Genomic DNA, 27,038 nt, shown 5'->3' on the forward strand with positions numbered 1-27,038 from the left:
TACAAACTATAGCCAATGGATGGATCAAATAATATGTAAGAGTCAACTTCTCTGCCTTACTAAGCAGAGCCCGGACATCCCAGATGGTTTTTTGGTGATTTCTTAAAGAGCAGATTCCTAGATTTAACCATCATTAGGTAACATTAAAGAAGAGCATTAGTTATATCACCAAGGAGACTTTAGTTATAATATATGACCTTTTCATTTTGTGTCAAATCTGTTTTATTTGCTGGTAAACAAAATCACTGTATAGGAAATACTTTTTTATTATTGTGCAGTTCTTTTTACATGTGAATCCATAAAGATCATTTTTGCAACAGTCTTCGGGAATATGAAGGGTAGTGCAGTTTTTTTATTCCCATTTTACAGCTGAGCATGTTGAGGCTGAATGTATTCCTAAATCCATATAGCTGAGAAGGAACTGACTTGGGATTCCATACCTGGTGCCTTTCTATAGCCCCACAGGTTACTTTCTACTGGAGAAGCTGAGCCTTCAAAGTGTGCAACTTTCCTTTTGTTCTATCAAGTGAGAGGTGGTACTCAATCTGGTTTTCCTGGAAATGCTCTTACAAGCCAGATGCAGGCCCTGAACAACTCTGCAATTACCAGGGAGAGGATATAATTAGGGGAAAAAGCTGGGTGGGCTTTATTCTGGAAATCTCACTGGTGATGAACTCTATTATTAGCAGACAAGATGATGTGTGGGAAAGAAAAGAAGTTGGTTCTGGTCCCTGCTCAGTCCCTGACCCAGAGTCAGGGTGCACTCTATTCCCAGGGGTGCTCTCTGGATTCTGCGCCTAAGGCCATCTCTCTGTGAGCTCAGTGCGAAAGCTGCCAAGTGAAACACAGGCATCACGGTTCCAGTGATGACCACTCCCCACCCCCCAGGTCCCGATGGTGCCCCCAGTTTCCCCAAAACCAGGTCCTGGACAGTACTCCAACCCCACTGTGACCCTGTGCCGAGCTGGCCACCCCCGTGTCAATTGCTGGTGGTTATTTGCTGCTGGCGCTCAAAATGGGAAGCTTAGTTGCAGTCTTAGCATGGATGGCTATTTCACTTCTGATTTCCATCAAAATGCACTGACCTTTTCCATCTAGTTTCCCAACCTATAAAATTGGTGTTCGAGCAGCTGCTGTGTGGTGTTCTCATGGGGTTCGTGGGGGAAGAATAACACGAAATGAGCTGTTGCCCTCTGTGTCACATCGTCTTATGCATTCTTCAAAACTGCCCTACAAGGTAGAGCTCTTACCCCCATTTTATTTATTTATTTATTTATTTATTTATTTATTTATTTATTTATGAGATGGAGTTTTGCTCCTGTTGCCCAGGCTAGAGTACAATGGCGCAACCTCAGCTTACTGTAACCTCCACCTCCTGGGTTCAAGCAATTCTCCTGCCTCAGCCTCCCAAGTAGCTGGGATTAGAGGCACCCGCCACCGTGCCTGGCTAATTTTTTGTATTTAGTAGAGACAGGATTTCACCATGTTAGTCAGGCTGGTCTCAAACTCCTCACCTCAGGTGATCCACCCGCCTCGGCCTTCCAAAGTTCTGGGATTACAGGCATGAGCCACCGCGCCCGGCCTTCTTACCCCCATTTTATGGTGGAGAGATTTATACATGGAGGGATTTAGTAACCTGTGAGGAAGGAAAAAAGCCCCTGAGATTTGGAAGCTGGCCTTCCATTCACGGCTAGCCTGTGTTCTTGTCCTCCAGGACATAAACACCCTCACAGGGTGCTGACCTCAGACAAGGCTACGCTGAGACTATGATAAAATGAGACAAAGCAAGACCGTGTCATAATTTTTTCTAAGCACCGACAAAAACAATGTCAGTGTACCACAGCGAAATACCAAACACCCCCTCTTGGCCAAAATGAGTGACTGTTACTTCTTTTCCTGCTACAGCTGTATCCTTGTTGCCATCTCCCTTCCTTATAGATGTGATTTATTGAGACACTGCGTCACAGAATTGCCCCCAGTTTCTTACAGCTGCCAATTGAAAGTAAACTGCCACTTCCTTACTGATATGGTTTGGCCGTGTCCCCACCCAAATCTCAACTTGAATTGTACCTCTCAGAATTCCCATGGGTTGTGGGAGGGACCCAGGGGGAGGTAATTGAATTATGGGGGGCTGATCTTGCCTGTGCTATTCTTGTGGTAATGAATAAGTCTCATAAAATCTGATGGTTTTATCAGGGGTTTCCATTTTTGCTTCTTGCTCATTTTCTCTTGCCACCACCATGTAAGAAGTGCCTTTCACCTCCCACCATGATTCTGAGGCCTCCCCAGCCATGTGGAACTGCAAGTCCAATTGAACCTCTTTTTCTTCCCAGTCTCAGGTATGTCTTCATCAGCAGCGTGAAAATGGACTAATACACTTACCCTCCCCCCAAATCTCTCATACCAACCCCAATTCTATCATAGGTTTTGTCTAACTCCCTCTTACTAAGACACCCTGGTGTGTATTCTCTCTCACTGCAGTAATTAATAAACCTGGCTTATTCAACCACAAGTGTGTTCTTGGTGGTCTCTGCTGGAAGATGTTGGTTCTTGTCCAGGGTCCCACAGTTGAAGGATGAAGACTGGATTCAAACTCAGGAAGCAGGCTTTTCTGATTCCAGAATCCACATGGGACCTCCTGTCTAGGAGAGTGGAAAGAATGAGCAATCTCAGCACCACCAAATGCTCCAGCCCCCAAGGGAAGTTCCCAATCCATCCCCCAAAGGGAAGGTCAGAATTCCAGCATCCAGTCTCGGCCTTGGTTATGGTGTTACGTTTTGCACTTCCCGTGTGCTTGGAAGGGGTCCCAGCTAGGTAGCTTTCCACTTGTCAACTGAAAGAGGAGACAGAGAAATCTAAGCCCCCCTCATCTGTCATGTGGTCACAGCCCGTGGACAGGCCAGCAGCATGAAGATGCCCGCAGCCTGCACAGGGACTGTCCCACCCGCCCACGGCTCCACCCTCTCTGTGCCTGGCACATGGAGGATGCCATGTGTTCTGTCAGCAAGAGCAGCTGAAACCCCTTTCCCCAGTATTGTCCTTTTTCCTGATGACTTCTCTACAGCAGTATCCTTGATCCCAGCAGGACACTGGCCTGGGATTTAAGAAGATGAGTAGCTACTCTCTCAGACCCCCTGGGGCCCAACAGTCCATATACCTACTAGCTTTTGACCTAGACTTTGGCATAGCTCCCTTCTGGGAGTTCTGGCACAGGTACCAGGGGATCATCTTGCCTCTGTGGCTGTTGAGATAGCAACAATTACTATGGTCACCCATTACCAGCACTATTTACAAAAGATTGGACTGTGCCAGAGCGTGTTTTATACTTCTTTGATTTTTTAAAAACCCTATGAGGTGGATATTATTGCCATTTTACAAATGAAGAAACTGAGACTCAGAAAGTTTGGTATTAACCTAAACAGACACAGCAGGTAAGTGGCAGAGCCAAGATTTGAAGGCAGAGCTTTCTCCAAGTCACTCTACTTAGTCCTTCTCTCCAGGCCCAGGTGTCCTCCATGCACCTGGGAAGCTGCACAGGTCATTCAAGGTTGCAGTGGATGCTGGGCTGAGCTGAGACCCACACTCGGGATGGAAGGTCTTAATCTCCAGTTATGGAGACTGCTGCTGCTGCTGCTGCTGCTGGCCTCCCTGGGGACAGCTGCCTTACCCAAGGTTATGTCCCGCCTTAGGGGCAGCCTACCTGATCGAAGGGGAAGATGTAAAGGCCTGGTCCATGCTCCAGCTGGGGATAACTCTGAAGGGCCATCCCAGTTTCAGGGTTCCTCGTGGGCTCAGTGGAGGCCTGGTTGTGACTGCATCGCAGCCAGCCTCTCCATCTGCCTGATCCCACTGCCACCTTCTCCGTAGGCGTTCATCCCGAGGCTCTCTTTGGGAATCTTCCTGCACTCCGTTCTCTGCAGTCTGCTTCTGGGGAGCTCCACCTGCAACAAGAGTGTTTTTCAGAATTAGCTGGGGGCTTGCAGTTTTACCTACTGCAATGCCTGGCTTACAATGCCTAGAGGAAGGTGGTATCCCCAGCAGGCAGGACGGGCATTCCTGTGTCCTCAGCTTCAGTCATCATGGGCTGGAAGCAGACGAACTATTCAATGGGCTTTGGGCTCTGACCTGTTTAAAAGAATTTCTCTGCTGCAGATGTCCAGTTGAATACTTTTTAAGCCCAGAATTAGCCTTTTCTTAAAAAAAAAAAAATTTCAGGCCAGGCGCAGTGGCTCACGCCTGTAATCCCAGCACTTTGGGAGGCTGAGGGGGGCGGATCATGAGGTCAAAAGATCGAGACCATCCTGGCCAACATGATGAAACCCCGTCTCTACTAATAATACAAAAATTAGCTGGGCGTGGTGGTGCATGCCTGTAGTCCCAGCTACTTGGGAAGCTGAGGCAGGATAATCACTTGAACCTGGGAAGTGGAGGCTGGAGTGAGCCGAGATTGCGCCACTGCACTCCAGCCTGGCGACAGAGCAAGACTGAAAAAAAACAAAAAAAAACAAAAAAACAAAAAAAACAAAAAACAGCTGGTCTGAAGGTAGTGAGTTATCGCATTGATTGTTCACAGTCAGTTACAGACTGAACCCCTTGTTCTACACTTTTCCCCCTTCTCGCTACTGCACTTGACTAGTCTTACAAAACATTTAAAAATAAAAAATTTCGGGATTAGAGGGCCTGATAGTTCAAGTTTATTATTAAGGTAAATAAAGGATATCAACTTCTCTAGTTTAACCTCTAAAGCAAAATAAATCATTGACAAGACTTCCACTAGAGCAAATAGCATGGTAATTAAGATGCTATTACCTGATTTGACCAATTTATCATCTGTTTAGTTCTGCTACAGGCCAGTCTCTGTGCTAGGGGTTAGGGAGGCAGAGATGAAGGAGAGCATTTCTGCCTGTTGAGAAGTTCACCCTCTTGTAGGAGAGGTTGGCATAAACCAGTCATAATAAAAGTCTTAATGATAATAGTTTCGAGGGTCCAGACTCGGATTGAAAATGCTGAATGAAAAAAGAAAATAGTTGCCAAGTGTTGTGACTCATGCCAGAATCCCAGCTACTTGGGAGGCCAAGGTGGGAGGATTGCTTGAGGCCAAGAGTTTGAGGCTGCAGTGAGCTATGAGCCAGCCTAGATGACAGAGCAAGACCCTGTCTCTAAAAAAATTAAAAAGTGGCTGGGCGTGGTGGTTCACACCTGTAATCACGCCCAGCACTTTGGGAGGCCGAGGCAGGCAGATCACCTGAAGTTAGGAGTTCAAGACCAGCCTGGCCAACATGGTGAAACCCTGTCTCTACTAAAAATACAAAAAATTAGCCAGGCATGGTGGCAAGTTCCTATAATCCTAACTACTCGGGAGGCTGAGGCAGGAGAATCGCTTGAACTGGGGAGGCAGATGTTGCAGTGAGTGGAGATTGTGCCATTGCACTCCAGCCTGGGCAACAAGAGGGAAACTCCGTCTCAAAAAATAAAAGTAAATAAATAAATAAATAAAAGAAAAAAATAGTGAATATTGTATTTCCATACTTAGTTGAATGAAAATTATGAGCAGGCAAATAAGAAACGTGTCATCCCAAGCTCTTACAAAGAGCAGCAGGATGTGAGACTGTGTTAACCTTTCTGGCTGGCATCAGGCAGCCTCAGCTGTAACCTTGTGGTGTTGACGCTACCCAGGCCCTTTAGAAAAGGCTTCTTGAGCATGATTTTGTGTGAAAGTGGTCAAAGGGTTTGTCCCTTTCCGGTCACCCTGCCAACATCTTAAGAGTTACTGCTCTTAAAATATTAGTTGCCTGTAGCTCTTTTCTACTTAAATATCTGCAATGCTTCCCCTCTCATCCCATTGCCCTTTGGATGAAGTTCAACCTCTCTTCTTGCATCACTCCCCAGAAAGCTCTTTTTTGTGGTCCCATTGGGCCACTCCTCAGACCCTGAACTCAGGAGACCTTTCAAAGAAGTCCAGGTCTCCTTGCCTTCACTCCTGCTGGTCCCCTTTCCTGGAATTCCTTCTTCTCTTCTTTTGACCAGTCACTAGGCACAGCTTTCAGGCCAGCTAAAATTTCGTCTCCTCTACAAACTCTTCCCCGAACACTTCAACCTGAAGGGACCTCTCCTTTACCTTTCATGGGAAAATGAACCCCTGTGGCTCTGGTGGCCCTTCCTTCTGGTCTTGACCTGTCATTTTAATGTGTTCTGCCACCCGGTCTTCTAGGAGTCTACAATTCTCCCTAGCAGGACCTGTAATGAATGTGGCAGGGTCAAGTTTGGTGTCCAGAGGGTCATCCTAGAGGGTTGTTTGGGGACCAGCATTGCTTGCCCTCCTTGCTGACTTACAGGGAGGGACACAGCTAAAAACCAAGAGCTGCTCCCTTCATCTCTTTATCAAGACCTGGTAAATTGGCCTCCTCCAAATATTGAACAAAATCAATTCAACTACTTTGGGAAAGAGGTAGCATTTTTCACTGTTGAGAATAAATTAATCCTACTTCCTTTTCTTTTTAAGGAAAGCAATAAATCAAAAGAGAGGGAGAGAGAAGAAAAAAACAAAAACAAAAACAAAAAAAACCTGCCTCTCTGTAACCCTGTCTTACTCCCTGGGAACAGTGTAACCTGGCCTCAATCCCAAAAAGCAGAAGGAAAGTATTTTTCAAAATGTTAATGGCCCTGAAAATTTGAGTTCAGTTCCTTTCTTTCTCTTTTTTTTTTTTTTTTAAGATATAGTCGCACTCTGTGTTGCCCAGGCTGAAGGCACGATCTCAGCTCACTGCAACCTGTGTCTCCTGGTTTCAAGCGATTCTCCTGCTTCAGCCTCCCGAGTAGCTGGGATTACAGACATGTGCCACCACGCCTGGCTAATTTTTTAATTTTTAGTAGAGGGGATTTTGCCATGTTGGCCATGCTGGTCTGGAAATCCTGACCTCAAGTGATGCACCTGCCTCAGCCTCCCAAAGTGCCGGCATTACAGGTGTGAGACGCTGCACCCAGCCGAGTTCCATTTTTCTGAAAACTGAATTGGGATCCCTGCCTGTGTTTGTATGTTTATGTTTGTGTGTGAAGGTGCTGGCCTGTGCGTGGTATATGTCCCGATGTGTGTGTGTGTCCAGATGTCTGCTCACGTACTCTTACTCTTAATAAGTCTAAAACTGACCTGGAATGGTGCAACTAGAACTATAAGGGAACACCCAGGCCAGTCCTTCCCTGTATGGGGGAGGAAGCTGATCCACAGTGGAACAGGATTTATGAAGGGACACAGGAGGTCGGCTGCACCCCAACTCAAAATTTTCAAAACAGAGATGCAGCAACTCACAAGAGTACACTCTGTTCTCTGGCTCCCAAACTGCCAAGGGTGTGCCCTGGCAAGGGGTTCTCAGACACCCTCAGCCAGCCTCAGCCACAGGCAAGTCTCTGAACTAAATTGCTCCTTGGCCTTTGCTGCCTTAGCAAAAGCAGAAACCACAAGCCTTCCCCACCCAGCAGGGCCTAGAAGCCTGGCTCTGGCAACTTCTGGAAAGGCCTTCTGCTTGTCTGTCTGGGTACCAAGCTGAGACCCTGAATGAGGTTCATTCTTTTCTGGGGCTGCTCTTTTTCTCTCCTGTTAGTTCCTTGCTTTTCCAAGACAGCCAAGAGGAAACCAAAGTTCCCATTGCTGTGCAGAGTCTCTTGGCATTTTCTAAAGAGAACAGCCACCAGTCTTGGGGTGAGGGGATTTTAAATCAGCAGTTTACTGATGAAGAGTCAGGGGCTCAGGGGTGGAAAGTGACTTGCCTGGGCCTTGCTCTGTTGGCACCTCCAACCCCAGCTGGCCATGGAAACTTGGACTTCATGCAGGCAGGGTTCCAGAGGGCTGAGGAACCCACCATTTCTGCCTCTACCGGTCTCAGGGCCCGGGAAGATGATCCATGTAGGGGCAGTCAGTCAGAGATGGGGTGCACAGTTATTCTGGGATTTCCCCAGACTGCCCCTTGGGTTCCACAGATAGTAGCTGAGCACCCTCCCAGGGCTCAGTTGCTGTGTTAGGTGTCTGCACATGCACCATCTTATTCAACTGCCATGAAAGCCGAGCCCAGTGAGAGCATGCAATCTCTTCTATAGCAGAGGGAGCCAGGCTCCCGAGGGAGGCCAGGGATGGCACTGCTCACTTGTGGCCATGTCTGAGGGGCATGCTATGAGGACTATGCTACCCATCATGGCAGCAAAATAGAAAGATAATAACAAGCTGTTCGGATCTGATGAGAGTTGGAACTGGCGGGAAGTGAACCAGGTAAGGCCTGTGGCAAAGTCATCAGTGTGGCAAGGGTCAGAAGAGGTGTGGCCAGGCTCTGCAGATCACTTTGTATCCATCCTTGCCCCATCTGATTCCCGCATCCATTGGGAAGGACAAGTAGAGGGCCTGGCACTTAGGAGACGGGGCCAGGATAGAGCTGTGTGTGTTTAGGAAGAAAGCCGCAAGCTGGTATGGTCTATTATGGACTGAATGCTTGTGTCTTCCCAAAATTCATGTGTTGAAACCCTAACCCAAAATGTGATGGTATTAGGAGGTAAGGGCTTGGGGAGCTGATTTCACTTAGATGGAGTCATGAGGGCGAGTCCACCGTGATGGGATTAGTGTCCTTATAAGAAAAGGAAGAGACCAGAACACGCTCTCTCTACCACGTGAGGACACAGTGAGAAGGCAGCTCTCTCCCAGTCAGGATGACAGCCCTCACCAGAGCCCGGACATTCTGGCACCTGGATCTGAAACTTCCAGCCTCTGGAGAGGTGAGAAATAAATTTGTGTTGCTAAGCCACTCAGTCTATGCTATTTTGTTATGGAAGCCCCAGCTGTTTCTTTAATCTGAGCTCTAGGGGAACTGAGACAGTGGTGGGGGAATGTGTGCCCAGCAGTGGGGAGATGGAGCATGGGGAGGAGGGGGTGTGAAACAGACAGGGCTGGAGTGGGAGTCAGAATGCATCCAGACCCTTGCCTGGCTGCACCAACTTGCCATCTTCCTTCTACCTGGGCTGGGCGAGACAGGTAATGCCTTCAGAGAGCCTGCTTTGGAGGAAGCAGTGATTTCTGGGCCAGACATGCAGTTTAGTGTCCCAGTATGTAATTAGAGTGTGCAGAGTCATGGCAGCTGGGCCCGTGGTGGGCCTGGCACTGGGCTCTCTGTCTGTGGTCACAGCTAGCCTGTGTCTGGCCAGGCATAGGCTCAGCTGACCTCAGAGCTCCTTCCCTCCCCTCCTGAGAAGATGTGCGCTCTCACAGCTTTATTCCCAGGGAAGCTGAATTGCCAGAGTCTCCTGGGTGCATAGAGGGGTCAGACCTTCCCTCAGGCCCTTTACCTGAGAGCCTTCTCTTCAGCCCATGGCCCAGCACTCCCCTTTCTAATGAGCTGAATTTCTGCTGTGAGTCCTCGTAGCTGAAGGACCCGGGACCAGGGCCTCCTGATCACGATGGGTTTGGCCCCACATGGCATTGGAGTATTGACTTGGTCTCCAATGTGGAGACACGGAGGGAAGCACTTCCTGATAGGGTCATACAATAAGGATCCTGGGGTTGGGGGGTCATACAGCCTCTTGGGGAGGCCACTGTGAGATTTCTGACCAGAGTGAAACGAGGATCCTTCCAGCTAGAAAGCCTTGCATCCTGCGAGCTTCCTCTTTTAAGGGGCTCAGCAGAACTGATTTCCAAATTCTCATATCTGCAGCCCCAAGATGCTTTCTGCAGCCTCTAGAAGTCTGATCAGGCTGTTTAAATTTGCTTTTGGACAGCCAAATGGGAAGTGAGGAGGAGGAGGAGAAGAAGAAGAGAGAGGGGAATAGGAAAGGGGGATTATATGGAGCTAATATGGTGATATTTGAAAGATCTGGCCCAAATTTAGGGCCTGTGGACTCCTGGGCAGCCCCAGTTCTGTGTTTTCAAGGTGGTGGTTTAGATGCCCTATTTTATTTTTTTCCCTCCCCTCCCTTCCCCTTCCCTCCCCTCCCTCCATCCCTCCCTCTTTCTTTTCTTTTCTTTTCTTTTTTTCTTTCTTTCCTTTCTTGAAGGAGTCTCACTCTGTTGCCTAGGCTATAGTGCACTGGCACAATCTCGGCTCACTGCAATGTCCACCGCCTGGGTTCAAGCGATTCTCCTGCCTCAACCTCCCGAGTAGCTGGGATTACAGGTGCACTCCACCATGCCTGGCTAAGTTTTTGTATTTTTAGTAGAGACAGGGTTTCACCATGTTGGCCAGGCTGGTCTCGAACTCCTGACCTCAGGTGAGCCACACACCTCGGCCTCCCAAAGTGCTGGGATTATAGGCTTGAGCCACTGTGTCCTGCCTAGATGCCCCATTTTCTTGTATCTTTTATGAAATGAAAGACTTAAGAATTCAGGCATCTGGGCAAGGAACTGTGGCCCCTGAAGGCAGCCTCCCTCCTGCTCCTCTGCTCAGCCCTACAGCCAACCTAGCCTTCTCCATAAGCCCCACTTCTTTCCCCTGGAAGGGGAAGCTTGGCTCTGTTCCAGGGGCATACCCAGAGGGATGTCTCCAGCCCAGTAGAAGTGAGTCCACTGCGAGGATGAGCTTAATCAGATCTGAGAGCTTCTCCTTCAAGCCGCACAAGAAGTGTTGACAGATTTGGCAGCATTTAAAAATGCTTGTTGCAGCTTTTGATAAGGCAGGTAAGGGTGTCCCAACAGGCCTATCCAAACTATCCCCACCAGTGTTTTGTACAGCTAAGGAGACTGAGGCCTGGAGACATGAAGAGCTCTTCCCAGGTCACACATCAGAGTGAGAGCACCTTGGTCTGGAGATCCCTAGGTAGGATGTAGGGTTGTGGCTACTGAGGCCAGGATGAACCCTCCTCCATGGCTGCAGACCACCTCTTGGGTGTCTGGTTGGTCTCACTTGGCTTCTGGCCAAGCACATTCACAACAGCATCTCAAAGCCAGACTGTTGGCTCAGGGCCTCAACCTGTCTGGGTCCAGGCGCAAAGTTAACATGGGCTCTGCCTCTCCGTTCATCTGCTTTTGAGTGTGGCTTGTAGGTCACCCCATAACCTGGGGGTTCAGGCAAAATTCTGTTGCTGAAATGCAAAAGAGGCAGCACCGTTGGGGGATGGAGCCACTGGCAGTGCAGGGAAAAGGGCTCCTTGCCTGTTCTGTCATGGTCTTGCAGCCTGTGGTTCATCCTTTCAGTCCTCCGCGCCTTGGGATTTTCCATTTGCTTGGTGGAGAAGTTGAATGGAGCTAGCCCTGTGCTTCAGGGCTGCTCTCCTCCCCCTTCATCACTGTAGGCTTCCCAGGCAACCGTTTGACCAAACCTTGTGAGTCCTAGCCCCTCTTACTACTTTCTCTGATGATAACATTTGCAGGCCAAGGGGAAACCCAATTACTGTACCCTTTTGTCTTTTTTGAATTACTCCCTAATCCATCTATTAAAAAACAACCTCAAGCAGGATCCTAAATAAATGGGCTTTAATCAAGAGAATTATCAATGTGATTCATTCTCCCTCAGGGCAGAGATGCAAATTATCTTTCAGCAAAGGGCACAGCAACTTAACATACCCAGACTAAGAACAATGGCCATCCGTCCCCAGGAGAAGGCTAAAGCATTTAGTGTTAGTGCTCAGGGCTCTGACCCCATTAGAGACTTCTCCGCTGGAGTTCCCATAATGGTGACATCTTAACTGAAATGGAGAAGGGAAGGCACCCAGCGTGGCCAGGGGCCCAGCAGAGCTGGGTCAGGTGGTGACCCCTCCTCTTCATGGGGACAGCAGGGGCCGCCAGCCTCCGGAGCCCCTGAATATTTGCTCAACTGCTTCTTGCTCCCTGCTAAGTCAGTCGCATTCCAGATGCAGCAAGGAGGATGCCCCCAAGAACAGGGGCAGAGCACTTTCCTAGACTGCTGTGTCCTCCCTACAGTTGTGGGGGGTGGCCCATGGGTGTGAGGAGACAGGGGTCGGAGTGGGGGCGACACTCCTGCGATCAGCCCCAGTTTAAAGCCTCTGCAGGTGCTGACATACTCTACAACTGACTCATGGGCCAGGAATACAGACTCAAATCTGTTTTTCTTTCCTTCCTTAGGAAAAGGCTGTAATTGCTCCTCCTCAGCCCAACTTGGGAGAAGTCTGATTTCTTCCCCAGACTTGTCTGAATGCTCGCAGCCGCTGCCCTTCACCAGGGCCAGGACCGCTCAGGTCTCCGTTCCCTTCCAGCCCAAGGCAGCACCCACTGCACCCTCGTCTGCCCTGGGCCCTGCTTGCCAGAGGCCTGGAGTCCAAGGGACCTGAAGGGGCTGCAGTGGCCACGTTGTGAGCTGAGTTATGACTAAACCCTCCCAGAAACTTAGAACTTCCAAGGAGTGTAGAACCACTTGGCAATTTAAACCATTTCAGAACCAGAGAATTATAGAAAAGTAGAATCTTAGGTTTAGAAACGATCTTTAAGGTAATCTACCTTCTTTCCAGCACAGCAGCCTTGCCTGCCTTCTTTCCTTATCCACAGTCTCCTTGAGAAGAAGCTGGGCCTTGTGGGAAACTTCCCAGGGCTTCTTTCCTTCCTGGACCTCTGGGAGACCACACCTTTCAGTCCCTTTGCAGTTACGAGGGGCCGAGTGGCATTTCTGACCTGTGAGATAGGAGCAAAAGTAATGTTTGTCACAATTCTGAGCTGAGGCAGTGAAAGTCCCTGAGCCATTCCCCAGGGAAGAGGGAAGTCCCTCTTCCCTTTCGGGACTGATCACAGACAAGTGCCTGTGTTGAGACAGCAAAGCCCCAGATCAAAGCAGCCAGGCCCACCGAGGCACTGCAAGAAGACAGTGCCCTGGAGGGCTGCCCGAGTTGCAGCAGACTTTGCATGAGCAAGGGTTAAGCTTGTTGAGATTTGGGGGCTGTTTGTATAGTAGGACATTATAACCTAGCCTGTCCTGGAGAATATTCCCAGCCTACATTCCAGACGTCCAGGCATGGGAATTCACTATGGGTGAATGAGGCTGTTGGGTTCATTGCTTAGCAGCTGTCAGTTGGAAAGTTTGTTTTTTCCCTTTAACTGAAATCTGCTTCCTCACAACTCCCTTTTCTTTTTTCTTTTCTTTTTCTTTTTTTTTTTTTTTTGTTGGAGATGGAGTCTCGCTCTGTTGCCCAGGCTGGAGTGCAGTGGCACGATCTCAGCTCACTGCAGCCTCTGCTTCCCAGGTTCAAGCGATTCTCCTGCCTCAGCCTCCCGAGTAGCTGCTGGCACATGCTGCTATGCCCGGCTAATTTTTTGTATTTTAGTAGAGATGGGGTTTCACTATGTTGCCCAGGCTGGTCTCGAACTCCTAAGCTCAGACAATCTGCCTGCCTCAGCCTCCCAAAGTGCTAGGATTACAAGTGTGAGCCACCACACCCGGGCCACACCTCAAGTAGGTGAAGCCTTCTGTTCTCAAACTTGAACATGCACCTGCATCACCTGGAGGGCTTGTTAAACACAGTGTTCTAGGCTCCAGTTCCGGTTTCTGATATAGCAGGTGTTATGGACTGATTATATCTGCCCCCACCAATCCTGCCCAAAATTCATGTTTTGACATTTTAACCCCTAATGTGATGGTATTAGGATATGAGACCTCTGGGAGGTGGTCAGGTCATGAGGGTGGAGACTTCACCAATGGGATTAGTGCCCTTATGAAAGGGACCCCAGAGAGCTCTCTCACCCCCTTTCTGCCATGTGAGGTTACAATGAAAAGGCCATTTTCTGCAACCAAAAGAGGGCCCTCATCAGACACTAACCATGCTGGCACTCTGATCTCAGGCTACCAGCCTCCAGAACTGTAAAAATGAAATTTCTGTTGTTTTATAAGCCACCCACCCAGTCTATGGTACTTTTTTATAGCATCACAAACTAAGGTAGTAGGTTTGGGGCAGGACCTGGAAATTTGCATTTTTAGTTAAGTTCCCAGAGGATGCTGCTGCTGGAGGTGTGGAGGCCACGCTTCGAGAACAGCTACTTTCTATCTTCTGTTACATCTCTCCAGGAGCCTGCTAGCCCGTGCTGGTCATGGCTGCAGAGGTGCTGCCACCCTGCCAGGCCACACAGAGCAGAACCCCATGCTTTGATCCCTCCCAGGTTGGTCTGGGTTGGTCGGAGTCTGGTGCTGTTCCCTCCACAGACTGCGAGCCTCAGTGGGCAGGGCTTGCAATGTACTCATCCCTGTGGCCCTCAGTCTGACAGTGGTTGGCCACAGCAACAAGTATGTGCTCAGCGAATGTTTGTTGAGTGTGTGGATACCCAGAACAGGAGGAACACCTTGCCCACTTCTGAAATCTTTCACTGAACTTCAGACTCCTGGTACAGAGACCCCTGGGGAGCTCACACTGCGCACCCTGCAGGCATCAGGGCTGATGCTAGCTTCCAGGCATGTTGGAGACCGGATGGTGAATGGCGATGGGCTGCATCCTCTCTCCAGGAGGGCTAAGCCTGGGGGCCCGAGGTATGTGTGTGTGGGTGGTGCCCTGGCTATTCCCGTAAAGACCCAGCTTGGCAAGACCACTCTTGCTGTCGGATCTGCAGATGACTTCTCTTGTGCTTGTACGAGCCAACTCTGACTTCTGGGAAGGATCGTGCTGTCTTGATTGCTGCAAACACAGACAGGTTAGCTCATGCTTGGCTGCACTGCCAATGACGTGGGCTCCAGCTTCCTGGGGGGTCTGCTGGGCCAAGTCCTCAGGTTTTCTGCCTGAAATCAATTCATCACATCTCAAGGCACTGCCTCCTGTATCATGTGCCTGGCCAGATCTCAGAGCTCATAGCAATGAGGTAGCCAACACTGGGGACTGTGATCCATTCCTGCTGGGCTTGGGCCCTCAGAGAGCCTGGGCAAGCTATTGCCAGGAAGGGCCGTGCCAGGAGCAGCCAAGGACCTCTGATTGTTAGAATCAAGACTGTTAAAGTCAAGGCCAACTTTGGGGTGTCTTGCCCTATCCTGTGGAGAACACTGACCCTGCTGGAGGTCTATGACTTTCTTCCTCCTCCCACTTCTCCGCCGGCCCTCCCCCCTCCCTCCTCCTCCTCCTTCTCTTCCCTTTCCCCTCTCTTCCTTTTCTTCTTCCATCTTACAATTTTTATTATGAAAAGGATTAAACATACAGAAAATTGAGAGGATAACATAATAAACCCACAATACCCATCACCTGGATTTAATAATTGTTAACATTTTGCTGTATCTGCTTCATTGACTTTTTTTTTTGCTTGAGTATTTTAAAGAATATTACTGACACACGTTTTACCCTAAATACTTCAGTATGCGTCTCTAAAATGCAAAAACAGTTGTCTATATAAACATAATATCGTGATCATATCCATCAAAATTAACACTAATTCCTTAATATCATCTAATAGTCCGTATTAGTGTTTCTGCAATTGTTGCAAAAATGTCTTTTGTGATTGGTTTACTCAAACCAGAATCTAAACCAGATCCACATGTTGCATTAGCTCATTAGGTCCGTTCCCCTCCGCCTTCTTTTCACAGGTGTTGAAGGTCCCATTTATACTAGAAAGTCCTTCCCACTCCCTTTTCCCTGTGGTATAGATGGGTTGAGGAAGCCAGGCCAGTGTGCAGGTCTCCAAGTCCACGGAGGGGTGGATTCCCAGGCAGGGGTCTGAGAGAGAGGCCCAGCCTCCTCCTTCCCCAGGCTGAGGGAGTCGCAGGCAGGCATCACCCTGAAGAGACACAGGGCCATCCTGGAGAAACTGTTCCTCCTGGGAAGCCATGTGATGTGCAGAAGGGTAGGGGAAGATGGTACAGAACGAGAATAAAGACTTTGAGACACTTACAGTGACACCAGGTCACTCGGGGAGGGAAGAATCACAGGAGTCTCTAGGGAAGGATCTTTGAAGATGAAGGTCAATGACTCAGAGGCGGTCAGGGCCTTGGGTGCTCTGATCCCTCTGTGGGGGCTGGGCCTGGCCGTGGCCAGGCAGCCTTCTGCCCACACACTGTTCCCTTTGATGGGCGGCTGGACCCGCCCTTCCACTCTCTGAGGGCCCCCTCTCTGGTAGCAACTTCTCTTCTGCCTCCACTTGGGTAATGGGCTGTCATGCGGGCAGCTGCCGGGAGCAGCTGTGACATTATCCAGACCCCACCCCAGGGCCCCCTTGGGCTGCAGCTCTGGCTCAGGCTCCGCCTGGATCCTCTGCTCTGCTTATCCATCTCTTGGGCTGGCTTCCAGGCCTGTGGCTCTGGGCACACTCGCTGCAGACAGAACTTCCCGAGTCAGTCTCACCCCTCATGGTGAGGAGCAAGGTGTGCCTTGGGAAGAACTTGTCAAGCAGTGGTGTTAATGGGGAGATGGCATTTTTTTTCCTATTAAGTGAGAAAAATTAATTTAAAACTTGATAATATCCAGTGTTGGTAAGGGTTCAGGGTAAACAGTCCCTTACTCTCTTGGTAGAGTGTAAATTGGTCAGTCTTTTGGAAAATAAACTGACAACACCTATCAACATTAAAAATGCATGGCTTTTTATTCTTTTTTAATTATTATTATTATTATTATTTTAAGAAACACGGTCTCTCTCTGTTGCCCAGGCTGGAAGTTCATCGGCTGATTTTAGCTCACTGCAGCCTTGAATTCCTGGGCTCAAGTGATCCTCCCACCTCAGCCTCCTGAGTAGGTAGGACTATAAGCACGCACAACCACACTCAGCTAATTTTTTTTTTTTTTTTTTGAGACAGAGTCTTGCTCTGTTGTCGAGGCTGGAGTGCAGTGGTATTGGCTCACTACAACCTCTGTCTCCTGGGTTCAAGCGATCCTCCTGCCTCAGCCTCCCAAATGACTGGGATTACAGATGCCTGCCACCACACTTGGCTACTTTTTGTATTTCCAGTAGAGACGGGGTTTCACCATGTTGGCCAAACTGGTCTCAAACTCCTGACCTGAAGTGATCCACCCACCTCAGCCTCCCAAAGTGCTGCAATTACAAGCATGAGCCACCACACAAGCCCCAGCTAATCTTTGTAGAGGAATCTTGCAATGTTGTCCAGGCTGGTCTCGAATTCCTGGTCTTTGGCCTCAAATGACCCTCCTGTCTTGGCCTCTCAAAATGCTGGGATTACAGGTGTGAGCCACCATGCTGGCTTTTCTATCAATTTTTTCATTCAATAAGTATTGAATCCCTACTATGTGCCAGGAGCTATTCGAGGCATTGGGGATATAGCATTGAATTCAGACAGACAAGGTACCTGCTCTTGTGAAAATTATATTTTAGTGGGAAAAGTAGACAATAAATAAATAGAAAGTGTTATTTATAATAAATGCTATGAATAAAAATAAAATATAGTAAGGAGGTATAATGTAGAGTAAGTTGTACCTCCTTCAATCCTTGGGGCTGGGAATTCCATTTCTAGGAAACTCTTACAGAAATGTTTCCACATTTGCACAAAGGCACACACACATTCATAAGAGCAAGAAGTTGCAAACACCCTAGATGCTTAACAGGAGAGGAGCTGGCAAATGAATTGTCCATCCACACAAATGGATAATATGCAGCCATTAAAAACAATGAGGCAGCTCAACTTGTGCCAACAAGGAAGGCTCTCAAAGACATGTTAAACAGAAGCAACATGTCTTAGAGTAGCATATGGCGCAGGATCCAAATAAGTAAAGTAATACTTACATTTCTCTGTACACACATAGAAAAAGGTCTAGAGGCCCGGTGCGGTGGCTCATGCCTGTAATCCCAGCACTTTGGGAGGCCAAGGCGGGTGGATCACCTGAGGTCAAGAGTTCGAGACCAGCCTGGCCAACATGGTGAAACCCCATCTCCACTAAAAATACAAAATTAGCTGGGCATGGTGGTGGGTGCCTGTAATTCCAGCTACTCAGGAGGCGGAGGCAGGAGAATTGCTTGAACCTGGGAGGCAGAGGTTGCAGTGAGCCGAGATTGCGCCATTGCACTCCAGCCTGGACAAAAAGAGCGAAACTCCATCTCAATAAAAAAAAAAGGAAAAAGAAAAAGGTCTAGAATGACTGAACACTAAATTATTTATGGTGATCTCTTCTGTAAGGAAGAGGAAGCAGGTTTGTTGCAAAATGGTCATTGCAGAATGGTACTTTCACTTTTTACTCAAAATTCTTCTGTATTGTTTGAAGTCTTTTTTTCTAAATACCACTAACATATATTTATGCATTCCATGGATTAAGTAAAAAGAAAAACACAAAAACCACAGCCTCAGAAATAGACACTCCACATCATAGCACAGATGCTTTTCCTTGGGGGTTTGAGATCTTAATCAAAGATGTTAAATGGATTCTTGGGTTTGTCAAATTGACTCTGACCTGCAGCTTTTGGTCCTGAGGGAGTAAGTGAAATGAAACGAGCCTTTCCTCCCTAAATTCAGCCTCGGCTGGCCCCAAATCACAGAGTTGAAAGAGGTCAAGTAAGGGATGAGGAAAGAAAGAATTGCTTTTCCTGAACCAGTGCAGGGCCAGGAGTGTAGCTGCCTCTGCAGGGAAGGTGATCCTACCATCATTTGGAGATGAGGAAATGGAGGTTCAGAAAATCAAGCAGCTTGTCCAAGGTCACAGGGCTGCTGAGAGACAGAGTCAAAGTTTGAAACCATATCTGTTGATCCCCAAAGTTCAGGCTCTTTTCTTGTGGATGGTGATGGCCTGGGTCACACTTCATAATAGTACTGCCCTCCTTGGAGGATCCAGCAGTGCCCTGCTTCTGTTAGAATTGCAAATGAGAACCCTCCGACCAGACTGAGCATTGGCCTGCCCCACTCCAGGGCCAAAGAGATTACCACCTTCTGGGGCTCTAGTCTGACCCTTGTTCCTCAGCTGAGGCCCCTCACAGCCTGGGGAATGAGGGCCCTGAAATTGTGTCTCTCCTATAGCAGAGAAATAATAATACAATACTCATAGGTAAACTATAAAATAATAATAATAATAATAATGCAGAACAGTAATAATAGCTAATGTAGTACTAGGCATTGCTCTAAACTTTCTAAATATCCATCCATCTAATCGTTTAACTATTCTAGTACTAGTAACATTGCCCCCTTTAGATGAGAAAACTGATGCACAAAGCATTTAACTAACTGGCCCAAAGTCACACAGCTAGAAAGGGACAGAACCAAGATCCAAAATCCATTAATCTTCATTTTTTTTTTTTTTTTTGCTCTGCTGCCCAGGCTGGAGTGTAGTGGCACAATGTCAGTGACATGATCACAGCTCACTGCAGCCTCGACCTCCTGGGTTTGAACAATCCTCCCGCCTCAGCCTCCCGAGTAGCTGAGACTTCAGGTACATGCCACCATACCCAGCTAAGTTTTGTATTTTTTGTAGATATGAGGTTTCACCATGTTACCCAGGCTGGTCTCAAACTCCTGAGCGCAAGCAATCCCCCAGCCTCGGCCTCCTGAAGTGCTGGTATTACAGGCACGAGCCACTGCACCTGGCCCAATTTTTTGTTTTGTTTGTTTTCTGGCTACTTATCCCCAAGTTCTAAGAGCCTGTGCACTTGATTTCTGTCTAACTCCCCCAAAGCAAGTTAGCACTTGTGGTACTTACCATGCGCTGGACATTGTTAAAAGTATTAGATTAGTGCAAAAATAATTGCGGTTTTTGACATTACTTTAAAATATATTAATATACTAAATATTAATTGTTCTGAGACAAATTTAAGAAGTAGAGGAGCTCCCTTATTACCTTTAAAAGTCTCATTTTAAAGATAGGGAGTCTAAGCACAGAAAAGCCAAATCACTGTCTGAGGTCACACAGCGTTTACATAAATGGCAGAGGTAGAATTTGAACCCACGCATACTGACTCTAGAGTTTATACTCATAAACATTTACTATATTAACAGAGAGGCTCTGAGATTCCAATGCCCTCATTATACATTCCCTGTTTCTAGAGAAGAGCCCAAGAATCCCCAAGGGGCATTTTGGCATTCACTGGAGCAAGAACAACTGGTCATCCCTGATTCCTACTCTTCTGTTGTTGAGGAGCTAGTCGTTGCCTGGTGACTCACTGTGCTGGGAGGGACAGACTAGCCTTTACTGTCCAGCTAATGTCCCTGGTGGCATGCCACCACCCTCCAGGTGTGGGGGTGGCTGAGCTCCAGGATGAGTGAGTCCACTCTGGGTTTGGGGTGGGGCAGTGGTGTGGGGGCAGAGACGTTCAGGGGACAGACTACACGGAGCCCCTCTCCCACTTTCTACCTCATTAGGATGAAAAGACAAAAGCAATTCCAAGCAAATGTAGCAGAAGTTGTCCCCCTAGTTCTGCTCATGTCCTGGCAAAGAGTGCGGACTGAGCCTGCTGACTCATGGCACTCTAGTTCAGGTCTCCCACTAGAAGACAAAGCAGGGTCAGGGCACACAGTGTTGCCCTCAGGACACCATGAAGCTCAAGGAAGCCTGGAGCGGTGGCTGGCTGAGGAGCAGGCCGCTGCTAGGCAGCTTTGTGCGTTTCGTGACTTTGCTGGAAATGCATCAAACGCTTGGCAAAAACACTTCCTCCTCCAGTGACAGGCACTCACGTTTCAGAAGGCATCAAATTGCTCTGAAAGGTGACAATAGCACCTGTCAACTTCTGCACATAGAACACTGTTTTCTACTGCAAGAATGTTTTTCTTGATCTTCTGGAACTGTATAGACTGCAGACCAAGCATCATCCATGTCCTGAAGCCCAGCTGGGTGGCGGATGGGACATGGGAGGGCAGGACAATGTCTGCAGAGGTGGTGGAGAGCACGGGGGAGCGGTGCCTTCTCAGCACTCCATTTGCCGGGTGGGGTAGGAGGGGAGGGTGAGGGTTCTGGGACATTCTTGAGCCCCAGGCACAGCTGCGAAGGGCAGTAGCTGCAGAGCCCCCGCATGGGGCTGAGCGTGGCCTCTCCTTCCTTGGGCTGAGTGGACAACCTCCTGCTCCCTCAGCTATATTGCTGGCTGGGGTTGGCAGAGGCCAGGCACTCAGTCCTCATCCACAGCGAGGTGTGAGTAAGTGGAGAGGGGGAAGCTGGCTTCCAAGGTGAAGAACAACGGGGACAGAAGTGCAGAGGCGGCGTGGTGCCTGGTGCTTTCGGGGGACTGAAAAGAGGACACGTTTATTATTTTGATGCATTTGTGACTTAAGCTGAACTCCTTCCTATGGGCAATGCTGCTGAAATAGGGGATGTGTGTAGGGCAGCTGTGGCAAAAGTGAATGCTGAGGAAGTCGGGAAGGGCTTTGAGCTAGGTTGGGACAGGAGCAGGAGGTGAGTCCACCTGCAGGGTGGAGGAAAGCTGGATGGGCGTGCACACTGGGGGCTGACCAGTGGCCCGGGGAGGCCGTTATGGGCTGAACAAGGAACAGAGTGGAGAGAGTGGAGGGAATGGAAAGGGGGACGCAGCAGGAGCCCCAGTGAATCTGAGAATCTAGGGTGTGCTGCTCCCCTCAGCCTGAGCTCAACAAAATGCTCCAGGCTTTCCCCTCCCCTGTTAGGAGCTTGGTGGACCCCCACGTCTGGCTTATGCTCTATTGCAGTGACAAGAGGCCTAGTGGAAATGACTGTTGGGTGTAGAAATGGTGACGATACTTCCTACTGGATGCCCTGAAGATTGGGGAAGATGGAGCATCACCCGAGTGAGTCATTGCCGGGCCATGATGCCAAGATGGGTCCTCCCCAACAGCTACTGCTCCTGGCTCTCCCCAGGTGCCCCCCAGAAGTCCTGTTGCAGGCCACCTGCCACAGCAGCTCTTGAGTCTGCCACTGGTTTAGGTGCTGGAACCTCAAGGGCCAGAGCCCTTCTCTGTCCCCTTGTCCCATTTTCCCCAGGGTCCTACTATCTCTACATTTAGGCCTAGACCACTGCCATAGGGTACATGAATGGATGCCAGAGAAGAGAAACCCCACTCATTCTTCCCTGACAGGTGACCCACTGTTCCCAAGGATAAATCCAGGGCATTTTTAATATACTTTCTTGCTAAGGTAGCAAAACACAAGTTAAATATCTTTAACAGCTGATTCTGATGGGCAGCCTTTTAGCAGGAAACCCAAAGATGGTGCCTGAATGCAGTGGCTTACGAATGTTACCCTCCCAACTCCCATTAATGGAGCACTTACTGTGGGCCGGGAATGGTATTGGCACATCTAATTGTGTGTGTGTGTGTGTGTGTGTGTGTGTGTGTGTGATCTTGTTCTTTTTACAAATTGAGATGTAATTCAATACCATAAAACTCACCCTTTTAAAGTGTACAATTCTGGTTTTAAAATATATTCACATGGTTGTGCTATCACCAGCAGTAATTCCAGAACTTTCCCATCACTCCTAAAAAGGAACCCTGTACCCATGAGCAGTCACACCTCGCTCACTCCTCCCTCATTCCTGGAAATCGCTAATCTACTTTCGGTCTCTATGGATTTGCGTATTCTGGATATTTCATATAAATAGTATCATACAGTGTATGGTCTTTTGTTTTCCACATAATTAAAATTTAGTTCGCGTAATGTTTTCAAGGTTCTTCCACATTATAGCATCTATCACTTCTTCATTCCTCTTTGTGGCTGGGTAATAGTCCATTGTATGGATATACACATTTTGTTTATCCATTCATCAATTGATGGAAATTTTGGGCTGTTTCTACTTTGGGGCAATTATCAATAATACTACTATGAATATTCTGTTTTTGTGTGAACATATGTTTTCAGTTCTGTGGTGTATATCCTTAGGAGTAAAATTGCTGCCTCACATGGTAACTTTATGGTTAACTTTTTAAATAACTGCCAAACTGTTCTTGGTAGCCATGCACCATTTTACTTTTCAGCCAGCAATGCACCAAGGTTCTAATTTCTCTACATCCTCACCAACATTTGTTATTTTTCTTTTTTTTAAATTACAGCCATCCTAGTAGGAGTGAAATGACATTTAATCTTTATAACTACCTTATGAATAAAATGCTATTATTATCCTCATATTACAGATAACAAAATAGAAGTGAAAAGAAATTAATTTGTCAGAGATCACACTTTTAACACATTTCAAATGCTAGACTTTAGGGAGGGGGTAGGGCCACATATTACTTCCCTCTGTCACTTAGGTATCACCCAGCCCACCTCCTGGAAGCACTAGCTGGGTCCAGGAATTCCTCCTCTGGTGCAGTTCAGATCTTGGGGACACTCACACATCTCCTTGGGAGGAGTGGCGGGGCATGGGGATCTGGGTTTGTCCATAGAGCACTTGCAAACTGGATGAGGCTGTAGGCCCTGCAGGATTTGCCAACATTCCTACTGGAAGTAGAGAACACACTGAAGAGTGCCTGACAACAGCTCCCAGCTTCCAGAAGCCAGCTAGGCTGCATCATTATTGCAGTTCGAGAAGCTCAGATACAAATAGAACCAGGTGCAGGGAGAGGTGGGTGTGCAAGAAGGCATACCAAGCAAACCAGATTTCCCAGCACTCCTGCCTACTGCCTTGTCCCTCAATAAAGTAGTTGGTGAGGGGTCTCTAGGGCTCTGGGGAACAGCTCAGCCTCCAGGACTGACATTTCCAAAGATCAGTACCCCCAGACTCCAGCAGAGTGCTTGACAAGGGCCTGGTAGACCAAACTGAGGGGAGGCTGAGCAAGGTCCTTCACCCTGGGGCCCACCTCTGTTCAGCAGCAGTCACCCCACATCTAGTCCAGGAATTTTGCTACCCTGGAAATAGCTGTGATAGCCCATTGGAAGCCCATGTCCAGGGAGCCAGGGCAGGCAGGACCTCTCCTTGGATGATGAGGAGGAAGCAGAGCCGGAGATCCAGCACTGCCCTTGCCTTGCCTTTGCAAAGTCATGGCCTCTTGGGTGGACAGACATCCAGGACACAAATGGTTACCTGCAAAGTGGAAGGTGGTTTGTGTCAAGGGGCTGTGGACAGGCAGAGGGGCAGAGGTTTTGATTGAGGGTGGGAAGAAAAAGAGATAAGGAACGCTTTCTGGGGTAGGTATCATTGGAGATAGGCCTTGGAGGATGCGAAGGATTTTAACAGGTGAGAGTCGTGGCCACTCCGTTCCCTTTGCCTAGCATGGGCATCAGACCAAAGGGCACAGGTGAGCAGACCCCCAGGGGCAGGAAGGAATGGGGAGGCTACGAGTCCAAGAAGAACTGATGATGCATAAATGGCACAAAGGAATATAGATCTCGTCCTCTAGGAGACTGGAAACGGGACCCAGGGGAGATTTTAAATGGGGGAGTAACAGATTTGTATTTAAAATCCCACTGATTGCAGCAAAGAGACTGGATTGGATTGGAAGTGGGGAAAGTGAAAACAAAAGGCAATTAAAATGGTGCAGGGAGAAATGATGACTTGAACTAAAGGAGCGGGAATAAAAGAGTAAAGGAGAGAAATGTGAGAACACTGGGGAAGGGGGTAGAATTCATAGAATTTTGTGATTTGTGGGAAGATCGAGACCATCCTGTTAACACGGTGAAACCCTGTCTCTACTGAAAATACAAAAAAATGGCCTGGTGTGGTGGTGCGTGCCTGTAGTCCCAGCCACTTGAGAGGCTGAGGCAGAAGAATTGTTTGAACCCGGGAGGCTGAGGTTGCAGTGAGCCGAGATTGCACCACTGCACTCCAGCCTGGGTGACAGAGTGAGACCCAGGCTCACTCAAAAAAAAAAAAAAAAAAAGAAAAGAAAGAATTTTGTGATTTATCTTTATTAGTAGGCATGTGTGCATGCAACTGGGTGTGTCCAAGAAGGGAGTCAGAGAGGAGGCTGAAATACCCTGAGGGAATTGCCAGTATTCCCTAGGGATGGAAAGCTATGACCACAAATAAGAAAGCTGGAGGTGAGGTGGGGGCTGGATTAAAGGGAGATGGAATTCAGACAGGGATCTGCTGAGTTTTAGGTGCTTCTTTGCTAGCCTTGGGCAGCGAGATACACTTACCTGCTATACACTGCCCAGGAAGAATCCCTGGTACTGCAGTGTGGATGGGGTCTCCAGCTTCTAGGCATGGACACGTTTGGAAAGGTGAGAAAACGTGAGAAAACAACAGTGGGCCCAGGGGACCGGTGCTCAGCATACCAAGGTCCTGCACCGGCACCGGTCTCTGAGTTCCCTCAGTTTTTATTGGTTATTATCTTCATTATTTCAGCAAAAAGGAATGTAGTAGGAGGGCAGGGTGATAATAAGGAGAAGGTCAGCAACAAACATGTGAGCAATAGAATCTACGTCATAATGAAGTTCAAGGGAAGGTACTATGCCTGGATGTGCACGTAAGCCAGATTTATGTTTCTCTCTACCCAAATATCTTAGCAGAGTAAAGAATACCAAGGCAGCATTGCTGCAAACATGTCTTTCCTCCCACCATAGGGCGATTTTTCTCCTATCTCAGAATTGAACAAATGTACAGTCGGGTTTTATACCGAGACATTCAGTTCCCAGGGGCAGGCAGGAGACAGTGGCCTTCCTCTATCTCACCTGCAAGAGGCTTTCCTCTTTGACTAATCCACCTCAGCACAGACCCTTTACGGGTGTCGGGCTGGGGGACGGTCAGGTCTTTCTCATCTCACGAGGCCATATTTCAGACTATCACATGGGGAGAAACCTTGGACAATACCCCGCTTTCAAAGGCAGAGGTCCCTGTGGCTTTCCGCAGTGCATTGTGCCCCTGGTTTATTGAGACTAGAGAATGGCGATGACTTTTACCATGTATACTGCTTGTAAACATTTTGTTAACAAGGCACGTCCTGCACAGCCCTAGATCCCTTAAACCTTGATTTCATACAACATATGTTTTTGTGAGCTCCAGATTGGGTCAAAGTGGTCGGGTCAAACTGGCTGGGGCAAAGCTACAAATTAACAACATCTCAGCAAAACAATTGTTCAAAGTACAGGTCTTTTTCAAAATGGAGTCTTTTATGTCTTTCCTTTCTACATAGACACAGTAACAGTCTGATCTCTCTTTCTTTTCCCTACAATGATCATGAGTCACACATGCACATCTGTTGTTACAACATTCTATCAGATGCCAGATCACCCTCCTTCCATCACGTCACAAGCTGTAAGACCCGACTTGCGTAAGCAATCTCCTGGGCTTTTTGAGGGTTAAGTATTATGTTTATTGCAGCACCTATGCTTTTCTATTTTTTATTTTATTTTATTTTATTTTTGAGTCAGAGTCTTGCTCTGTTGCCCAGGCTGGAGTGCAGTGGTGCCATCTCGGCTCACTGCAAGCCCTGCCTCCCGGGTTCACACCATTCTCCTGCCTCAGTCTCCCAAGTAGCTGGGACTACAGGTGACTGCCACAACGCCCGAATAATTTTTCTTTTTTTCGTATTTTTTAGTAGAGACGGAGTTTCACCATGTTAGCCAGGATGGTGTCGATCTCCTGACCTCGTGATCCTCCCGCCTCAGCCTTCCAAAGTGCTGGGATTATAGGCGTGAGCCACCACGCCCGGCTGCAGCACCTACGCTTTTCTTAACCACTTAACATGTGTAAAACTGCACTGCCTCTTTTATTAGCACTTCTCTCTCTTTTTCAAATGTGTCACTGATGAAGTTTTCAAGCGTTGTTCCCCTAACTCCATTTTCCCATAAGCCTCATGGTTCCTATTGTGGAATTTTGCATAGTGCAAGGAATTTTAGGAACACACATGTTGTGTTATAGCAGAACTGATGGTACTCCCTTTTCCTTGATTTGTCTTATAAAGGTTTTGTTATTGGAATTACAGCTTGTTTGTTAGAATTGAGATTCAAAAGTATACTGTGATTAGTTGCTATATCTCTTAAATATTCCTCTCTCTCTTTCTCTGTCTCTCTCTCTCTGGTATATAAATATTTAAAGACACTAAGTGGTATGTCCTGTAGGGTTTCTTAGAGTCTAGATTTTGATTATTGTCTCCCATGGTGTCCTTTAACCATGCTATTCCCTGCGTTTCTTTTAAACCGGTACGTAGTAAGATTAGAGACTTGATCAGACTCAGGTTCTATGTTTATGACAAGACTGCATTATAGGGGGTGCTCAGATGGTACATAACACCTGCCTGTCCCTCTTTTCATGGAGTTAACATTACTGTTGATTCTTATCTTTATTATTTCATTTATTAGGGGGTGCAAAATGGTGACATGCT

At 48.0% G+C, this 27,038-nt stretch overlaps 1 long non-coding RNA gene across 1 annotated transcript, besides 1 other annotated feature; it reads right to left on the bottom strand.

Moving 5' to 3' along the window:
- Positions 1-2,311: 2,311 nt before the first annotated feature.
- Positions 2,312-25,211, bottom strand: LOC107985856 (uncharacterized). Its single transcript, NR_157978.1, has 4 exons — positions 24,853-25,211; positions 12,425-12,595; positions 3,701-3,941; positions 2,312-2,642 (listed from the first exon to the last, which is right to left on the bottom strand). It is a non-coding gene; the product is annotated as an uncharacterized LOC107985856 (long non-coding RNA).
- Positions 11,075-11,872: an enhancer, noted in NCBI's record as "NANOG-H3K27ac-H3K4me1 hESC enhancer chr2:20687149-20687946 (GRCh37/hg19 assembly coordinates)". NCBI's record gives its function as "activates a minimal SCP1, AML or CMV promoter by ChIP-STARR-seq in primed H9 embryonic stem cells {active_cell/tissue: H9 hESC(primed)}" and the evidence as "EXISTENCE:reporter gene assay evidence [ECO:0000049][PMID:30033119]".
- Positions 25,212-27,038: the final 1,827 nt, after the last annotated feature.

This window comes from Homo sapiens, chromosome 2 (assembly GCF_000001405.40).
Source record: "Homo sapiens chromosome 2, GRCh38.p14 Primary Assembly".
Lineage (NCBI taxonomy): Eukaryota > Metazoa > Chordata > Mammalia > Primates > Hominidae > Homo > Homo sapiens.